This window comes from Homo sapiens, chromosome X (assembly GCF_000001405.40).
Source record: "Homo sapiens chromosome X, GRCh38.p14 Primary Assembly".
Classification (NCBI taxonomy): Eukaryota; Metazoa; Chordata; class Mammalia; order Primates; family Hominidae; genus Homo; species Homo sapiens.
In genome coordinates this window covers 69,689,125-69,710,736 of record NC_000023.11, presented here as the reverse complement: position 1 = coordinate 69,710,736, position 21,612 = coordinate 69,689,125, and the positions used below count along the sequence as shown (strand labels likewise).

Genomic DNA, 21,612 nt, shown 5'->3' with positions numbered 1-21,612 from the left:
AAATGCCTAGGAATCCAACTTACAAGGGATGTGAAGGACCTCTTCAAGGAGAACTACAAGCCACTGCTCAATGAAATCAAAGAGGATACAAACAAATGGAAGAACATTCCATGCTCATGGGTAGGAAGAATTAATATCGTGAAAATGGCTATACTGCCTAAGGTAATTTATGGATTCAATGCCATCCCCATCAATTTACCAATGACTCTCTTCACAGAATTGGAAAAAACTAAAGTTCATATGGAACCAAAAAAGAGCCCGCATTGCCAAGTCAATCCTACGCCAAAAGAACAAAGCTGGAGGCATCACACTACCTGACTTCAAACTATACTAAAGGCAACAGTAACCAAAACAGCATGGTACTGGTACCAAAACAGAGATATAGACCAATGGAACAGAACAGAGCCCTCAGAAATAATGCCGCATATCTACAACTATCTGATCTTTGACAAACCTGACAAAAACAAGAAATGGGGAAAGGATTCCCTATTTAATAAATGGTGCTGGGAAAACTGGCTAGCCATATGTAGAAAGCTGAAACTGGATCCCTTCCTTACACCTTATACAAAAATCAATTCAAGATGGATTAAAGACTTAAATGTTAGACCTAAAACCATAAAAACCCTAGAAGAAGACCTAGGCAATACCATTCAGGACATAGGCATGGGCAAGGACTTCAAGTATAAAACACCAAAAGCAATGGCAACAAAAGCCAAAATTGACAAATGGGATCTAATTAAACTCAAGAGCTTCTGCACAGCAAAAGAAACTACTATTAGAGTGAACAGGCAACCTACAGAATGGGAGAAAATTTTTGCAATCTACTCATCTGACAAAGGGCTAATATCCAGAATGTACAATGAACTCAAACAAATTTACAAGAAAAAAAAAAGAATCTACAATTTTCTTAATAACAACATCAGTTTAAAATGCTGGGGACATAGACAGGAGTGATGGCCCATGCCTATAGTCCCAGTTCCTCTGGAGGTTGAGGTGAGAGGATCTCTAGAGTCCAAAAATTCAAAGCCAGCCTGAGATGCCCCCTCTTTAAAAAGAGAAAAAAATAATGCTGAAAACAGTTTAAAGCAAAGAGAAATCAGTGGACACTAGGAGCTAGTATGGGTTCATTAGGAAAAAAACTCGTTCACCCTCCCCTCCCTTTCTTCCTTCCTTTACTTTTGATATAAAAGTTATCAGGTGAGTGCTATAACTGTTTTTATATCCTGAGTTTAGGAAAGTATTTGACGGTGTCTCAGAATAGCTTTATAGAGTCAAAACTGATGTGCCACATTAGAGCTGAGAGAACTTGTAAACATTTCAAAGACCATACTCAAGACTGACTGAAAGATTAAATGTCAATCAATGGTCCCTAGCCAAATGCTAAAAGGCCACATATCCTTCAAGATTTCCACTGATGGTTTGAAAACCAAACAGAAAGCATATAGTTGACTGAATCTGCAGATGGTCTGAAGCACACAAGGGTACTGATATTTGAATGGTCAGAATTAGGAATTAACAGACTATACTGGCTGTTAGATACACAATGAAAAATAACATAAACAAATAAAAAGCCTTTCACAAAGGTCCAAACTTACAATTAAATAAACACAGCAGCATCTGTGAAAGAGTTTTAAGCTGATGGAAAGCCCAGTGAACCATCATGATCTCAGACTTCATTTCTTACTGTTTCTGCTACATTGACAACTTTGCCATTCCTCAAACACACCAAGAACACATTCTAGACTCAGGACCTTTGCACATGCTATTTTCTCTATCCAGTTGGTTCTTCTCCCAATTATCTGCATGATGTTATCCTTCATTTCTTCTGGGTCTTGCTATATCACAGAGGTATTTCTTGACCACATAAGTGAGACAGCAACTCCCACCCCTCACTTTTTATACATCCCTTTCCTTGCTCTAAGTTTCTCCTATATTTGCTTCCACCTGATATATTATAGATCTATTTTTTATATTTTTTGTCTGCCCCCACCCCAGCTCCCATCAAAATGGGAGCAGGTAACAGGAACTTTGTTTTCTTCCTAGCCAGATACAGGTTTTGTTGGACTTAAAATATATGAGTTGCAGAATTTTCTTCAAGAACAATAATACCAAATTACAAATACAAAATTAGTTATAGGGCCGTAGAAGATGTCCCTGCAAGTGAAGGGCCTTGGAATTTAAGCTTCATTCACTTTATAGTAAATCTACCTCTAATCACTGTTATAGCCCCAGTTCCAGCACAGCTCCTCATACATGTGTGAAGCCTCCATACTTGAGTCCTTACCTAATGAACTGATGAACTAAAACCTACGTACATAAAAACTAACCAAAAGCCCAACTTCACAGTATACTTTTGTAACAAATAGCTGAGTGTCCACCAATCACAGCAGCCAAGCTTCGGTCAACTGCAGGTAGCTAACTGATTACACCATGCTCAAATAAGGCAAAGGCAGAGCTGTAACCAATCAAGCTGTCTCTCTTAGGGCACTCAGTTTTTCGTCCATAAATGCTGCATGCAAGAGTTCTGTTAACCTGTTCTGGTTTTGAGGGCTGCCCAATTTGTGAATCATTCTTTCCTCAATTAAACTCTGTTAAATTTAGTTTGTCTAAAGTTTTTCTTTTAACAGATTGGCATCGGAAGTCGGATCCAAAGTAGAACTCCAGTGACCCCCAGTAACACTGAGTGACTAAGTAAAAGTACCCAACAGAGCCCATTATGCCCACTGATCTATTAGAGCAACTGGGGTCATGGGTGATTTCTCTCTCAGATTCTGGGCTCCACAAATTTGTTGCTTGAGCTCTCAAATTTATTTTAGCATTTTTTTAAATCCACAATGGATTCAGAAGTCACAATAGAAACAGGAATGGGTACTGTATGGGGGTGCCACAGGTGTCTGCCTGGGTCAGACAGAAACTGGACTGGGTTCAATAGGTAGGTAAGGTTACTAGAATATGATAGGAAATCATGGGTTCATCTGGATCCAAAAAATCTAGAACTCCTCCATGTGGAACTCTAGCAAATTTCATGTATAAGAATTATGGATATAGAACCTGTGTTTTTCTAGAGAAATGGGTGAACTCAGAGTAACTTAGAGTTACAGTGGGCACAGTGGGAAAACTCCTTACAAAAGGCAAACAGTTGGGTGTCTTTACAGCTACAACATCTACGAGGACCAAGAGGACCTTGCGGTATAAATTTTAAACCAAAAACAAGGGGTCCCAAACTAAAGTACCCTGTGCTCTGAGATGTCTGACTTTATCGTAAACAGCCAGAGAATTGGAAAATAAACTGTCAGTTTTTATACAAGACATCTGATGAACTCACTCACTTTGTCCTGCACTATTTCCTCACTAGAAGAAGCCCCCAAAGGCTTCACTCCTTAGATGATAATTAACCAATCTCTCAGAGAGAAATAAAGAATATTTCCATGGTGGAGGTTTCAAATTATGTCTAAAAGATTCCTGTGTCCAAACCTGTCTAATACCACTTGGACCATTTTCAGAAAAATATTTGTAAGAATTAGTTCTCTCTGTTTTCTGTACTTATTCTTGCTTCTCCCATAAGAACCTCTCAGTTGACTGAAACCTCTCTTCTCAAAACCCTGTTGACTATATGTTCTGCCAACTCTGTCCACCTCTTTCTGGTCAACATGATCTTTGGAGAGAGAAAATATTTTATGTTGACTGATGATTCTGACTGTTCTTTATCTTTCTCTCCATCTTTCTCTTTATCCTCCTCTGCCTACTGTAAACCAAAAATAAAATTCTAAGGTACCCCCCAACCACCTGAATGGACTTCTTCCTAGGCCAGGGCACTTTAAAATTTAACCTGAGAGACTGGTCCAGGCCATGACAGGAAGTGGGGGTCAGACATGCCTCATTAGGCCTCTTCAGCATTAACATCAACATAGTCTGATAAGAAACATTTATAATCTATTCTCTCTGAAGCCTGCTACCTGGAGGCTTCATTTGTATGATAAAACCTTGGTCTCCACAACCTCTTATCTCAACATAGACATTCCTTTCTATTGATAACTCTTTCAACCAATTGCCAATTAGAAAAATTGTAAATCTACATACAACCTGGAAGCCTCCCCACCCCCACCCTTCTTCGAGTTGTCCTGCCTTTCTGGACTGAACCAATGTATTTCTTAAATGTGTTTGATTGAAGTTTCACATCTCCCTAAAATGTATAAAACCAAGCTGCACCTCAAACACCTTGGGCACATATTCTCAGGATCTCCTGAGGGCTGTGTCACGGGTCATGGTGACTCATATTTGGATCAGAAAAAATCTTTTCAAAAATATTTTACAGAGTTTGACACTTTTCATCGATAGTACTCTAAATTTATTAACCTTTTTGCTTATTTTCCCATCTCAGGATAAAAAAGTTGTTTAGAGAAGTTCAGCCCTCAGATAAAGGTGGCCTGCTTCTTTAACCACTCTATGCCTTCGTCAAAATCTTAAACTCAGAACAACAGTGAAATGTATCCTAGGCTGGCATAGAAGATGCTTTGTCTGCCCTATGCATTAATGGGAACCACTCTGAACTCAGTAATCTAATTTAAAAACTTGGGCTGGGAATCTGCCTATTTTTAGTTATTTTGAGACGTTTTGTAAAATAAATTTACATCTATAAAGGAAATCTCCATTTATAAGGCTGTCTCTGTCTCTGCACCGGAAGAAAGGCAGGACTCTTATTAGAAGCTCTTACAATGGAGAAAGCATTGACTTAAATTTACATAACAAGCCTTACCTTTGTTTAAGGTGATTTTCTTGGCCATCTTGTCTTAACTGGGCCTTTACCTATACCTTCTTTTCTTGGTTTGAGCAAATAATGACAATTAGTGCTGAAATCTGAGTTCTGTACCTTTGAGATATAAATTTTGTACCTTGTTTTACCTAAGAACCATCACTTTAGAAATGCAAATTTGGCGTAGAAAATTTTTAGATGGTTCTTAAAAATGAGATGACTAAAATGGACACTGATGGGGTTAAAACAAAGGTTGAATCTAACAAAGGATGGATGAACCAGAGGGACTCCCTGTTGGTCCCCCAACATTTCAGTGACCCAAACCAGTCCACTCTATTTACCTCAGTTTGGAGAAATTTTAAAAGCCCAAAGACAAATATAATGAGCAGCCTAACTAAAAATTGCTTAGGGCAATAATCAGGCAGGTCATTTTAAAAAAGGACAAAGGTCCCTTGACTCAATCCCTACTGCTACTATGAGTAAAATGGTTAGAGGTCAAAGAAAAGAGATATCTTCAGAGTAAATGGTGTTAGGGAAAGATGAATGGGCCCCTTAGAGAATAGATGATGTTGTGACAAGGTTTGTCTGGTTGCGATGGACTTCTGGCCTTCTCTCTTGTGATAACAGTTAATCTTCAGAGGACTGATGACAATTGAGTTCCTTTTGTAGCATTAGTCTTTAGGCAGATGGAGGGGGAACTCAGAAAGCCTCTGTATTTTGCTGTTTTTCTTTTTTCTTTCTTTCTTTTTTTTTTTTTTTTGAGATGGAGTTTCACTCTTGTAGCCCAGGCTGGAGTGCAATGGTGTGATCTCAGCTCACTGCAACCTCCGCCTCCCAGGTTCAAGCCATTCTCCTGCCTCAGCCTCCCGAGTAGCTGGGATTACAGGTGCCCATCACGACATCCAGCTAATTTTGTATTTTTTTTAGTAGAGACAGGGTTTCACCATGTTGGCCAGGCTGATCTTGAACTCCTGACCTCAGGTGAATGGCCCACCTCGGCCTCCCAAAGTGCTGGGATTACAGGTGTGAGCCACCACGCCTGGCCTATTTTGCTGTTTTTCAAGTGCTTCAGCTCAAAGTCATCAACATAACAAAAATATGTATACCGATATACATATTTTAGGGTGGTATTTCCTGAACTCCTTCAATGGCCAGTTTTGTTTAATGAGCAATTCAAGAATTGTCAAGAATAAGTAAATTAAGTGAATGTAAATGGGATACAAGTTTAAGTGAACTTGTCAAAATTTCAAAAATCTTTTTCAGTAACTTAAAATCTTAAAGTCCTTCTATGTTATATTAAGTACAGTAGTCCCCACCTTATCCTTGGGAGATAAATTCCAAGACACCCAGTAGATGCACTGATGGATCCTCCCACCCACTCCCCCCACTCCTCACCTCTGGGCAAGGGCATTCCGAAGTTAACCTGAAAACTAGTTCAAGTGATAATGGGACATTTCTCATTATACCCTCCCCCCTTTTGAAATTCAGGCACAGCTGACTAACATTAACATCAAAACAGAGACCTTAAAACTGATAGAACAGACCCTTTAGGTCTGATAAGAAATATTTACAATCTATTCTCTCTGAAGCCTGTTACCTCTGCTACCTGGAGGCTTTGTCTGCATGATAAAATCTTGGTCTCCACAACCTCTTATCTTAACCCAGACATTCTTTCTATTGATTCCAGGTCTTTAGATAATAACTGTTTCAACCAATTACCAATCAGAAAATCTTTGAATCTGCCTATGACCTGGAAACCCCAGCTTCCAGTTGCCTTGCCTTTCCAGACCAAATCAATGTACATATTACATGAACTGATTGATGTCTTGTCTCCCTAACATGTGTAAAACCAAGCTGTAGCACACGTTCTCAGGATTTACTGGGGCTGTGTCACAGGCCATTGGTCATTCATATTTGGCTCAGAATAAATCTCTTCAAATGTTTTACAGAGTTCAACTCTTTTCATCAATGCCTGAAACCAAAGGTAGTACCAAACTCTATATATACTATGTTGTTATCTATACATACATACCTATGATAAGATTTAGCTTATAAATTAGGCACAGTAAGAGATTAACAACAACTAATAAAATACCAAAATTATAACGATATATTACAATAAAAGTAATATAGATGTGGTCTTTCTCTCTCTCTGAAAGATTCTCCCCAGGGCCTGAAACTTAAGGGAATGAATAACTCCTCCCTTCTCAGGCCCAGTCCCAAGACGCAAGACCACTTCCACCAACAGCATGCCTCAGCAAGATAGCAGAAGCAGGAAGAGAGCTGGCCAGAAGACACGTACCGCCTGAAGACCGAGAGAGAGGCCGTCAGGGTACTGCGTAGCAGTTACATAAGACTGAGACACTTTCTGTTTACAGGAGACTATAAAACCCCTGCCCTGGCCTCATTTGGTGCTGACGCCATTTTAGGCCTCAGCCCGTCTGCACCCAGGCGCTCATTAAAACAGCGTATTGCTCCACACTACCTCGTGTTGTCTGTTGGCACGCTCTCGGGATTAGAACAGATACAAGAACCTTTCATCTGGTGCCGAAAACCGGGAGGGGCTCCGGTGTATGTCCCCTGTGGACCTACGCCTCCACCCTGGAGAGCAGGCCACAGCAGCCGGACAAAGGAAACTCCTCAGCCTCTAGTCGCCTCTCTGTGCATGCACATCAGTCACTGATCTCACCTACTGGTAAAGTTTCCTGGGAGCCTGGTTAACAGGGAAAAATCTGCACGGCCTCTCTTGGTTTCTCCGGTCCGAAAATCCAACCTTGGTCCAAGAAGGTTCCGGTGTGTGCCAGGCACTCGCTGATCATCTGGTCTTAGGGGGACACTTCTAAGCCATTTGATCCCATTCCAGGAACGAAAAAGGCAGCGGTGACAATTGCTCCTTTTATCGTCTCCCTACGGCCATGCAAGATGGTCTCCCTTTCCCTTTTCTCCTGAGCCTACCCTCCGTTATGGGAAATTCCCAGTCTTCCATTCCAAAGGACAGCCCTCTAGGCTGCCTCATAAAAAAAAAAAAAACTTGCAAACCTTAGGCCTCAGACAAAATATCCGCCCTAAACACCTTGTCTTTTTTGCAATTCAGTCTGGCCACAGTATGAATTAGATAATGGGTCCAAATGGCCCGCAAATGAACATTCGACTTTACAGTTTTAACTGACTTAAGCAATTATTGCTGACGGCTGGAAAAATGGGGAGAAATTCCTTATGTCCAGGCTTTTTTGCACTCAGATCACAACCCAACCTCGGCAATTCTTGCTCACCTGTTCAAATCCTTCTCCTCCATTCTCGCCGCCCTGATCGCCTTTCTCCTCCCAGCCCAACCTCTTTTTCCTTGTTGGATCCAGCAGACTGCTGTCCACCCCTCCTCTCTCTCTCAACCACCTTTAGTCCCCCAAGCCTCCTCTTTATCTTCTCAGTCGCCATCTTCCCAGTTGCCATCCTCTCAGCTGCCATCTTCCCAGCCACCATCCTCTCAGCTGCCATCTTCCCAGCCACCATCTTCCCAATCAGCAGTATCCACTTCTTTTCCTACACCTTCCCCTCCTCAGGACAATTCTAGTATTGTCTGTACCCATTCTCCTCCCCCACCGCCCTCTCCTGAGGACTGTAAACCCATCCTGCCACCTTATGCCCCTATCTATCCTCCACTGCCTATCAGCTCAACGCCCCCTTCCCCCTTCAAACCCTCGGCAAGAACCACTTCCGGCTTCTTCCTTCTCTCCCACCTGTACTCACTCAGGTACCATCTTTGGTCCATGCCCCACCCTTACTTCAGCACCTGTGCTAGAGTGTCCCCTTTGGGAAGTAGCAGGAACTGAAGGTATTGTTAGAGTTCATGTTCCCTTCTCCCTCACTGATCTCTCTCAAATTAACAAAAGACTTGGTTCATTTCCAGAAGACCCTACCTCTTATATTAGAGTTTCAGTACCTCACCCAGTCTTATGAACTTGGCATGACCTCTGTATTATCCTCTCTTCCACCCTCACCCCAGAAGACCGGGACCATATCTGGACCCTAGCTCAGGCGTATGCTAATACAATTCATCACCAAGCTCCTGCCCAGCCTACTGGCGCAGAGGTAGTCCCCAACCAGGACCCCCACTGGGATTATCAAGATGAAGCCCTTGGATGCTGCCATCGAGACCACATGATTGTGTGTCTCCTTGCAGGACTCAAAAAGGGTGTCCATAAAGCAGTCAACTATGAAAAACTTTCATAAATCACCCAGGGTCCTGACGAAAACCCAGACCTTTTTCTCTCTCGTTTAACTGAAGCCATGAGAAAGTATACCAACCTAGACCCAGCCAGCCCAGAAGGGACCTTCAGTTCATCTCCCAATCCACCCCCGATATCTGGCGCAAGCTTCAGAAGCTTGACGGTGGCCCTCAAATCCTACAACAAGACCTTCTTAATTTTGCCTTCAAAGTCTAACAATCGTGATGAGGAAAGTGAAAGGCAAAAACAGGCAGTTTCAAATGCTTGCCTCCACCATAAGGGGCCCTGCAGGCCCAAGGGCCGCAGCTCCACACAGAATCCTCCTAGCAATCCACCTCCACCTGGCACCTGTTTCAAGTGTGGCAATGAAGGCGACTGGTCCAGACAATGACCAAACCCAGGTAAGCCCACCAGGCCATGCCCCCTCTGCGGAGGACCCCACTGGAAGTCGGACTGTGAGTGGCCCCCACAAGGACTGCCCCCATCCCTTCCTGAGCCGACCAAAACCTCCTACTGAGATCTCATCAGCCTTGCCACTGAAGACCGACAGTGCCCTGGAACAGATGCCCCAGCAACTACCATCTCTTCATACGAGCCAAGGGTAACTCTGATGGTGGCAGGTAAGCCAGTATGCTTTTTTAAAATTAATACTGGGGCAACCTACTCTGCTTTACCTAATTTTTCAGGACCCACCTAGTCCTCCCAAGTCTCTGTTGTGGGAATTAATGGACAAGTCTCCAAACCCTGAGCCACCTCTCCACTTTTCTGCTCCCCGCACACCTTTTCCTTCACTCGCTCTTTCTTAGTCCTGCCCTCATGCCCAACTCCACTCCTAGGCAGAGACATCCTTTCAAAACTCCACACTACTCTCCACTTCCACGTTCCCCATAGTACCCAATGCATCAACCCAAACCCCTCTCTGGTGCTTCTAACTTTCTTCTACTCCTCCAACCTCCCACTTTAAAACATGCAACCTTTCCTTATTCCCCATCCGTAGTTAACCCCGCTATTTGGGATACTTCCACACCTTTTTCCTCAGTCGCAAAACACCACACTCCTGTCCGCATTACCCTTAAAGAGCCCACCCAGTTCCTATCACAGAAGCAGTATCCCATCCCCCAAGCAGCTCTCATAGGCCTAAAGCCTATCATTTCTCGCCTCCTTGCCAGTCACCTACTCCGCCCAACAGACTCCCCTTTTAACACACCAATTCTACCTGTCAAAAAGCCAGATGGAACTTATCACTTAGTCAAGGACCTCAGGCTCATTAACCAGGCTGTACTCCCAGTATGTCCAGTAGTTCCTAACCCATATACTTCACTTTCCGCAATTCCCTCCAATACCACCCATTTTTCTGTTCTAAACCTAAAGGATGCTTTTTTCACAATTCCTTTACACCCTGATTCTCAAGACCTCTTTGCCTTTATGTGGGAAGACCCTGACACCTTTCACACCAGCTCACATGCATACTACCTCAAGGTTTCAGAAACAGCCCCCACCATTTTGGGCAGGCCCTTGCTCATGACCTCTGTATCTTATCCCTAAAACCGTCCACTCTCCTTCAATATGTTAATGATCTGCTCCTGTGTAGCCCCTCTCAAAGAGACTGCAACACCCATACTATCCCTCTTTTCAACTTCTTGGCAGAACAGGGGTATCAGGTCTCCCCTAAGAAAGCACAAATATGCACCCCCTCAGTCACCTATCTAGGCCTAGCTCTTACCCCGCAAACCCGACGGCTCACAACCGACCGCATATCCCTCCTCTAGTCCCTCCTGCCTCTGCAAACTAAGCAAGAAATTATCTCTTTTCTAGGACTAGCGGGATATTTTAGGCTCTGGGTTCCCTCCTTCACTCTACTTGCCAAACTTATATCAAGCTGCTAAAGGCCCTCTCCATGAGCCTTTAAACCCTGCTAAAGGCCCTCTCCATGAGCCTTTAAACCCTGCGCAGACTATTACCCAACCTTTCCGTCTACTCCGTAAGGCTCTCAGCCCCCGTCCTCACTTTCCCAGACCTCACCAAACCTTTCTCCCTCTATACCAGCGAATGGCATGGAGTTGCACTAGGTGTTCTAACGCAGTCTAAGGGACCCACCCTCCAGATTGTTGCCTACCTCTCTAAACAGCTTGAAGCCACAGTTCTCGGATGACCTGCCTGCCTCCAAGCATCAGCGGCAGCTGCAGTCCTCACTCTTAAAAGCATAAAACCATCTCTCCATGCCAACCTAACAGTTTATTCAACCCATAACATCAAAGATATGCTAGCTCACCGCAGTGTACTAAGTCTCATCCCTGCCCCATGCCTCCTCCAAGTGTATGCTCTATTCATAGAAACTCCCCACATCACCATGCTAACCAGCTCCCATCTAAACTCGGCCATGCTCTGTCCCTGTCCTTCTTCTCTCCTCTTTACTCCTCAGAAGAAAAAGAGGACTACCAAGCCCAAAACCTTCAAAAACAAGGACCATGGTATGTCAAGGGAGGGTGCTTCGTTCTTCCTCACTCTTAAACAATTCCTATCCTCTAAAGTCTCCACAACTCTTTCCATGTCGGGTACAAACCTCTCTTCCAACTTCTCCACCCTATTCTCACTTGTCCTCACCTTTCTAGCCGTGTTTGAGAAATCACCCAGACCTGCTTTATCTGCCACTGAGTGTCACCCCAGGGGTCCCTCCGCCACTGCCTTTTCCTACCCACCAAGCCCGGGGCCAGGCACCCGGGCAAGATTGGCAAGTAGACTTCACTCACATGCTGCCCGGTAAATGGCTCTGCTATCTTCTAGTCTTTGTCTGTACTTTCTCCGGGTGGGTAGAAGCATTCCCAACAACTTCAGAAGGTGCAAATGTCGTCACACAAACTCTCATCATGCATAGAATTCCCCGTTTTGGACTCCCAACACTCATCCAATCTGATAACAGCCTGACTCTATCAGCCAAATTACCCAAGGCGTCTCTACATCCTTGGGAATAAAATGGATTCTCCACACACCCTACAGGCCCCAATCTTCAGGCAAAGTTGAAAAGGTCAACTCTGTCCTTAAAGCCCAACTCACCAAGCCCAACTCTAGAAACCCGGCAGTCGTGGACAAAAAAAATCTCTCTTTTGCCCTCATGAGACTCTGCGCAACACCAAAAGCACCCTCTTTTTATAGTCCCTTTGAAATCATGTATGGCCGAACTTTTCTTTTAGGGCCTCCACCCTTACCAGACTCTGAGCCACTCGGGAATTACCTCCCTTCCTTAATCCAGACACTGTCTTTTATTCGTGAAGCAACAAATGAGGCCATGCCTCTGCCTGTCGACACCTCCTTGTCCTCTCAACATAACTGTCTTGCAGGCACAGATGTGTTTATCTGCCAACCCAACCCTCTCAAAAAGCTACAACCGAAGTGGTCAGGCCCTACACTGTGATACTCAGCATGCCAACTGCAGTGAGAATCCAAGGACTCCCCTACTGGATCCGTCGCACCAGGGTCAAGCTCACCCCGCAAGGATACTCCTTCCTCCAAAACATTAACAGTGGGCAACACCCTCGGAGTCCCTGTATATAATAACCTAAACAAAGAAAAACAATCCTTAAAGGTAGAAGGAAGCCAAAGATGGCAAAAGGACAAATGGCCTCCGCAACGGATCATCGAATATCACGGTCCTGCCACTTGGGCTGAGGATGGTTCCTGGGGTTATCGCACTCCCATATATATGCTAAACAGAATAATTAGGCCACAGACAGTTCTAGAGATAATCACTAACCAAACCTCCCCAGCCCTGGAAATGCTCCCGCAACAACAAAACCAAATGCATGCGGCAATTTATCAAAACAGGCTACCACTAGACTAGTTATTAGCAGAAGAGAGTGGGGTCTGTGGTAAGTTTAATATCTCTAATTGCTGTCTTAACATAGACGATAACAAAAAAGCAGTTCTAGAAATTGCTTCAAACATCAGAAAAGTAGCCCATGTACCAGTCCAAACCTGGAAGGGATGGGTGGGACCCAACAAACCTTCTGGAGGGTGGTTCTCTAATTTAGGAGGATTTAAAACACTGGTAGGGACAGTAATCTTCATCATCGGGTTCCTCCAGTTTCTCCCCTGTATTATCCCACTAATAATAAAAGCTATTAAAAGTCTTGCTGAAACTACAGTTAACCACCAGACAATCCAGATGATGTTCCTGCTGCAACGACACGATGGACACCAACCCGTCTGTCAAGAATAACCCAAAAATTAAGTTTTTCTTTGTTTCCAAGGTGCCCACAACACCCCCCATGTCACGCTTGAAGTAGTTATTGAGAAAGTCATCGCTTTTCCCTTTTTCTATAACCAAATAGATGGGAATGAAAGATTCTCCCCAGGGCCTGAAAGCTTAACGGAATGAATAACTCCTCCCTTCTCAGGCCCAGTCCCAAGATCCAAGACCACTTGCACCAGCAGCGTGCCTCAGCAAGATAGCAGAAGCAGGAAGAGAGATGGCTGGAAGACACGTACCTCCTGAAGACTGAGAGAGAGGCCGTCAGGGTACCGCGTAGCAGTTACATCAGACTGAGACACTTTCTGTTTAGAGGAGACTATAAAATCCCTGCCCTGTCCTCATTTGGTGCTGACGCCATTTTAGGTCTCAGCCCGTCTGCACCCAGGCGCTCATTAAAACAGCGTGTTGCTCCACACTACCTCGTTCTGTCTGTTGGTGTGCTCCTGGGGTTCGAACCAATACAAGAACCTTTCACTCTCCCTCTCTCAAAATATCTCATTATATTGTACTCACCTATTTCTGAACTGCAATTGATCGCAGATAACTGAAACTGCAGTAAAGGAGGAATTACTCTAATACATATTCATGAAATGTCTAGGTCATTTCTAAGAAAGTTAAAAATACCAAAATATTAATTACAAAATGTAAGTTTAAAGTACACATATTTTGGCATCTTGTTTTCAAACAGTATAGGTATGCTATTTGGGTCTATTAGTAAACATGAAAAAACTACTCTATGAAGAAGCACGTGTTCTAGAAATTATGAAATGCATATTCATAAAATGTTTGTATATAACAGAGGGTTTTAAGTTGTTTTACTTCCTGGGTTTTCACTAGAAATTAAGGTTACTAAGAGTTGAAAATCCTAATCAATATATGGTAATTTAAAATAGAAATAAAAGGAAAACAACCGTTGTACGTGAGTAAAGTAAGACATGTTTTTAGTAAGTGAAGCTATGAGGTACGGAAGAAGAAAAAAAGAGGGTAATTTTTATCCTAAAGTAGAATGATTGATTGTTCCAAAATGAGAAACCAAAAACTATATGAAAAATAAGAGACATAAAAAGATTATAGAAGGTTTGTGGAAGATAAATCTTATGAAAGTAATTTTATGTGTGATCAAGCTAAGATGAGAAGGAAATTATTCACAAGTTTTTCTAAAAATTGAGCCTTACTACCAAATGTACACTGATGCAAAACTACAATTTTTTACCTTGTGTTGAAACAATAAGGCTTTCTTGGAATCTTGATCCACGTTTTTTTTTTTTTGAGACAGAGTTTTGCTCTTATTGCCCAGGCTGGAGTGCAATGGTGCGATCTTCACTCACTGAAACCTCTGCCTCCTGGGTTCAAGCAATTCTCCCACCTCAGCCTCCCAAATAGCTGGGATTACAGGCATGTGCCACCACGCCCAGCTAATTTTGTATTTTTAGTAGAGATGGGGTTTCACTATGTTGGTCAGGCTGGTCTCGAAATCCTGACCTCAGGTGATCCACCCACCTCGGCCTCCCAAAGTGCTGAGATTACAGGCGTGAGCCACTGCGTCTGGCCTTTGATCTGCTCGTAATAGGAAATTTTGAGAGTTCTTTCTTTACCTTTTTGGTAGGTAACTGGCCTAGGAAACAAAGATTCTGTGCTTTATCAAGATGATTCCTTGTGCTTCACGTTCTATATTAGGTTTTTGCTTACTTAAGAAAACTGAGGCTGGGTGCAGTGGCTCATGCCTGTAATCCCAGCACTTTGGGAGGCCAAGGCGGGAGGCGGGTGGATCACAAGGTCAGGTGTTCGAGACCAGACTGGCCAACATAGTAAAACCCCATCTCTACTAAAAATTAGCTGGGCGTGGTAGCGGGCACTTGTAATCCCAGCTATTCAGAAGGCTGAGGCAGGAGAATCGCTTGAACCTGGGAGGTGGAGGTTGCAGTGAGCCGAGATCGTGCCACTGCACTCCAGCCCAGGCAATAGTGCTAGACTCCGTCAAAAAAAAAAAAAAAAAGAAAGAAGGAAAGAAGGAAAACTGAGTCCTCTAAAACAGCCAAGGATTTTTCTACAACTATGTTTCTATATTTGCCTTTTAAAGTCTTTTAATTATCACTCTATTTAAATGATTACTGTTATTTCACAGTCACTTATCATATTTTGACCAAGTGTTTTAAACCATATATATATATTTTCCTTCTTTCTCTTCCTTCCTTCTTCCTTTCCTTTTTCTTTTTCTTTCTCTACAGTGGTGCGATCTCAGCTCACTGCTACCTCCACCTCCCAAGTTCAAGCGATTCTCCTGCCTCAGCCTGCCGAGTAGCTGGGACTACAGGCACACACCACCACACTTGGCTAATTTTTATATTTTTAGTAGAGATAGGGTTTTGCCATGTTGCCCAGGCTGGTCTCAAACTCATGAGTTCAAGCAATCCACCTGCCTTGGCCTCCCAAAGTGCTGGGATTACAGGCATGAGCCACCATGCCAGGCCAAAACCTTTGATATTTTTGACAAACTTCACAAAATCAAATTATAATTTAAGTCTCTTTCTTGACTTTGAATTAACTTTGGGATTTTCCAGATAGGCCCTTGGAACATCTCAAAAGGATACCTCTCTTTGTGAAAAGAGAAATATAAACTAACTGGGCTTATTCAATATATTAAATTATATGGAAAGTGTTGTCAAATAATAAGTAAAGCTAACCCTTTGAGTTATATTTGCATGGATGTGTTATTAATACATGTTTCAGAAATTGTATAAAATACATAGAAATCTAGTAGTCCTGGTATAATGATAAGTCATAATTCTAGTTATCTTAAAATGTTGTATGCAGCAAAAATAACTGAATTTCCTTGTCAATTGCATCAACGTTGTAGTGAACTCTCAACAGGCCTTTAACCATGGCCATTTTAAGCATTATTATTCACAGATGGTTGTTTACTCTGGTACTTTCCTGAGCAACTATAAGCCTAAAGTGTTTGGTCTTCAAGGAGATTCATGGAAAGGACTCTGACAAGTAGAGATTTCTGATAACTTTAATACACCATTAGACTAGGTGAGACTTTCCAGATCTCTAATGAAGAAACTAGTTTTATAAAACTGCTAACCCAAACGCAGAACAAGAATTATTAAATACTAAGGAAATGCTTTGGCAGATTTTCATAACAAGTCAGCCAGTACTGAAATTGTTAAGATATGCAATTTAAAATAACTCCTTAAGACTGATTGAGGTCAGATTACCTATTTTACCCTATTTAATAAACAGTGCTACACCTGAATTGGAGAAACAAATCTGATATTTAAAAGAATATAAATTCAATATTAAGCATGGACTCATAGAGGGCACAGATGGCCACCTGGTCTTTCTCAAGTCCTTAAAGCCTCCATTATTAAAAGTTCTGTACTTCATAACTCATCATGGAGTATAAAAAATTATGCCAATTATGAAAAAATATTAGTGTGGGGACTATTTTTAAATTGCCAAAATGGTTTATAACCAATGTTTGCTTTGTCAAACCCATAATCCTTGGAAGACAATAAAAACTTCAGGTGGTACATTTGTACTTTCTGATGGTCCATTTGAACATTTACAGAGGAATTTCATTCATTTGCCATCTTAAATGGGATATGAGTATGTTCTCATAATAGTCTATATTCTCCGATTGGATAGGAGCTTTCCATGTAGGAAGGCCAATACTATAACAGTAGCTAAAAAGGTTATTAAAACATGTATTTCCTTTATGGAGCACTCCTGGAGAAATCTCCAGCAATAGAAGTACTATTTTACTGGACAAATTATAAAGCAATTGAATAAGGTGTCATGAATACAATGGCATTATCATTGTCTTCACCACCCTCAGTCTTCCGGAAAGACTGAAAGGACAAATGGCATCTAAAAACTGAAATTGGCAAAATTAACCGAATCAATTGGATTGTATCTTCATGAAAGCTTATTTACAATGGGGAAGTGAGAAGATGTGATATGGTAGAAGGGTATGATCAGAGGTATTGTGTCAGAGAGCTGGGTGACATGGAAGAGAATGAAGTTTTACTGAGAGGAATTAGGTGGAAATGTTATTATAGTAACGATAGTATATATATAGCACTTAATTTATAAAGTATTTTCCAGTATAGTATGTAATTAGGTCCACACTTCACTTAACTCACCTAAACCATTCTCTGGAGATCAGATTGATTTTGGCCTGTGTGAAGAAGAGCTGTCATAGTCATGGTGGTTAAACAGAGAAAGCAGAGGAGTGATTGCCAACCCTGTCATCTTCTTCTCTCCCCTCCCTTTGTTCTGGTTTTGAGGGTTGCTCAATTCATGAATAGTTCTTTGCTCAATTAGACTCTGCTAAATTTAATATTTTTCCCCACCCAGACTGTGTCCTCTGTCTCTTATTCTCCCCAAAGAAAAGAAGAACAATCATTAATGGCAAATGGCAACTGAAGTAAACCAACACCAAGAGGCAGCTTTACACTTGGGAGATAATATGGTTTTTAGTGCTCTATACATTCAAAGAAACTTCTCCAGTAATAAACTATAGAAATGATCCCTGAAAGTATAGTCTTTAACTTTAATTTGTCTAAAGATTTTAACAGATGATAGGTGCTCAATAAATATTTATTGAATGAATGAACAATAATGTAGTAGCATTATAAAGGCAAATATTACCTTAACCTACAATAACATGATTTGGGCAGGGACACAAACCCAAAGCATCAATAATAAAACCACTGATCTGAAGAATATAGGACAAAAATTTCAGATATAGTAAAAGAAAGCTTTAACGGACCTGTTACAACACCCAAGTGAGTCATAGGAGAGAAATTATTTTGACAAAACTTGATGAAAATCCCTTACAATGAACTGGGCACTGTGTTAAGTACTTTACATTAATTATCTTATTAAAATTTCTCAACAATCCTGTTATCACCACCCACATCCATGGAAATTGAAGCTTGGAGATGTTTAATAATTCCGTCAAGATCATATTGCTAATGACGTGTGTTAGCTAGCTAAGGCAGGTCTCTTGAGAATGAATTTTTCTCATTCATTCATGAGTTTTCACTCTCTGTATTCCATGGCAAAACATGTCTTCTGCTTAGAGTTGGAGACCTATTGAGATGAAAGTTACCCCTGGGAACTCTACCGACATCCCTGGGAGATGCTTTCCTACCATCAGTGTTAGAATAAAGATGTTTTGTGATCTACTTGTGTCAGGCTGGGCTAGAGAGTTTCTATCATAACCTAATCATAACCCTATTTGTCAATTCAATTATTCCCACTGTACAGGCAATCCATAGAGTGAAACCAGTACATAGGGTTCATGAAGATACATGTTACAACAGCTGGTCAGGCACATGTGAAGTGAGGTACCATAACATCTTCCTCATTTCAGAGAAAGGGAAAAGATCTAGGCCAAATACCGAGTTCATACATGAGACAGTAGCATTCAATTCCTATTTCCATATGGGAGTCAATTTTCATTGACTCAAAGTCTGGAAGAAATGTTCTTATTTCCTCAAGTTACTGGCAAGCAATAAAGGTGCATACCTATGGAGGAAGTTAGGACAAAAGATACTTAGGAAAGAGAGAATATAAATCCTACTAATAGGACGTAGAAACTTTTAATAAAATATAAAAATTGATTAGAGTTACCTTTCTTTACTTGAATAAATTATATACCACAATTTGAAAGAAGTTTTGGTAACTTTTTAGAGTTTCAGGTTCATTATTTATAACACTGCTGAACTATCATAAAGTTCATTAAAAGGTCAGAATTGTCTCAGAAATGTTAAAGTTATCTGAGAGATGGTGCTCTACTTTAAGAAGAAACAAATTATCTCTATGGATATTTAATAGGAAATAAAATTACTACTGAGATGAGAAAAAGATGAAAATAATACAGAGCATGATAATTTATTATATACAATCCCAGCTGTGCTTTTACTTTCATTTATGATTAATATTAAACCAATGTTTCACCTGCTTACATTCTGAAATTGGTTATATGCCTAAATTTTAGTGAAAATAAATATCATCTTGATTATATGGTAGAAGAAAAAGCACAAAAATATTTTTTCAGACTTTAAAAGAGAAGTCATTTTTAAGGTTTACTTTATTAAATTAAAGCTGGCTACTGAAGAATAATGCAGTAAAACCAGGGTCAGCACAATAATGTGGAAGAAAAAGATACAAGCATTTACTGAAAGGTACAATATCTGTCATAAATAGGTATTGTGCTAGAGATTTTACACGTTAATTCATCTAATTTTAAAGGCAAATCTATGAGGCAAGCCATATCGCCCCATTTTATAGATGAAGCAACTGAGGTTCCAGGAGGTTAAGAAACATGTGGCCAGGAACACACTGTCAGTGAGGTCATTATATAGTGGTTACTAGCTGCCTTCAAATGATTAATTTGCTACTTCTCTTTTCAAAAGGCGATTTTTTTCTTTGAAAATATCCACAAAATTGACAAACCTTTAGTTAGATTGATGAAGCCAAAAATAAAGACTCGATTTACTAAAATTCAGAATGAAAGAGAGGACATTACTATTAACCATAAACATACATCAAGGACTATAAGGGAATATGATCAACAACTGTATGTATACAAATTATATAACTTAGATGAAATGGGAAAGTACCTAGAAAAACAAAAACTACCAACATTGATTCAGGAAGAAATATAAAAGATGTATAGACCTAAAACAAGTGATTGAATTTGTAATAAAAAAATTACTCACAAAGAAAAGCCTAGGCTTACATGGCTTCCCTGATGAATTCTAGTAAACATTTAAAGAACAATTAATACCCATCCTTCTCAAACTCTTCCAAGAAATATAAGAGGAGGGAATACTTCTCAACTCATTCTATGACATCAGTATTACCTTGTTACCAAAACCAGAAAAAGATATCACAAGAAAACTATAGACCAATATATCTTATGAATATAGTCATAAAAATCTTCAATAAAATACTAGCAAACTGAATCCAGTAATATATAAAAAGGATTGTATAACATGACCAAATGAAATTTATCCCAGGAATGCAAGGTTGGATTAATATCAGAAAATCAATTAATATATCATATGAATAGAATAAAGGAAAAAATTCATGAATATCTCAATACACATGGAAAAACGTTGACAAAATTCAATACCCTCTCTCATGATAAAAATACTCAAAAAATTAGCAATAGAAGGAAACTTCCTCAACCACATTAAGGGGTACCTAGGAAAGACCCAGAGCTAACATTATACTAAGTGATAACTGAATATTTTCCCCCTAACAGGACAAGGATGTCTGCTCTTACCACTTCTATTCAACGCATTGTTACTAGAGGTTATAGTTATGAACTTAGGCAATAAAAAGAAATGAAAGGCATCCAGAAAACTCTCTCTGTTTGCAGATAACATAATATTATATAGAGCAAAGTCTAAGGAATCCACACACACACACAAAGACCCTACTAAAGCTAATAAACAAGTTTAGCAAGTTTGCAGTATACAAGGTCAATATTAAAAATTAGCTCTAATTCTATTTTTGCAATGAACTATTGAAAAATAAAATTTAAGAAACAATCCCATTTATAATAGCATCAAAATAAAATAAAACATTAGGAATAAATTTGACAAAAGATGTGTAGAACTTATACTGAAAACTACAAAATATTGTTGAAAGAAAGTAACGAAGATCTAAGTAAATGAAAAGACATCCCACATTATAGACTAGAGGACTTAATATTGTTAAGATGGCAATACTCCCTAAATTGATCTACAGATTAAACACAACCTTATCAAAATACAGGCTGATCTTAAAATTCATATGGAAATTCAGCGGCACAGAATAGCCAAAACCAATCTTGATAAAGAAGAACAAAGTTGGGCCGGGCGCGGTGGCTCACACCTGTAATCCCAGCACTTTGGGAGGCCGAGGTGGGTGGATCATGAGGTCAGGAGTTCGAGACCAGCCTGGCTAAGATGGTGAAACCCTGTCTCTACTAAAAAATACAAAAATTAGCCAGGCACGGTGGTGGGTGCCTGTAATCCCAGCTACTCGGGAGGCTGAGACAGGAGACTCGCTTGAACCCAGCTACTCGGGAGGCTGAGACAGGAGACTCGCTTGAACCCAGGAAGCGGAGTTTGCAGTGAGCCAAGATTGCGCCACTGCACTCTAGCCTGGGCGACAGAGCAAGACTCCGTCTCAAAAAAAAAAAAGCATGGCACATGTATACATATGTAACTAACCTGCACATTGTGCACATGTACCCTAAAACTTAAAGTATAATAATAATAATAAATAAAAAAAAAGAAGAACAGTTATACGACTCATACGTCCTGATTTCAAAACTTACAACAAAGCTACAAAGTAATTAAGACAATGTAGTACTGCTG

At 40.8% G+C, this 21,612-nt stretch overlaps 1 protein-coding gene and 1 pseudogene across 8 annotated transcripts in view, besides 1 other annotated feature; both read right to left on the bottom strand.

The window, feature by feature from the left end:
- The window catches only part of EDA (ectodysplasin A), a 423,360-nt gene that overhangs the window by 328,736 nt on the left and 73,012 nt on the right, over positions 1 to 21,612 (bottom strand). The gene's annotated exons all lie outside the window — the stretch shown is intronic.
- Positions 4,332 to 5,123: an enhancer, noted in NCBI's record as "OCT4-NANOG hESC enhancer chrX:68925458-68926249 (GRCh37/hg19 assembly coordinates)". NCBI's record gives its function as "activates a minimal SCP1, AML or CMV promoter by ChIP-STARR-seq in primed H9 embryonic stem cells {active_cell/tissue: H9 hESC(primed)}" and the evidence as "EXISTENCE:reporter gene assay evidence [ECO:0000049][PMID:30033119]".
- LOC124905293 (uncharacterized) lies at positions 17,582 to 17,781 on the bottom strand (annotated as a pseudogene).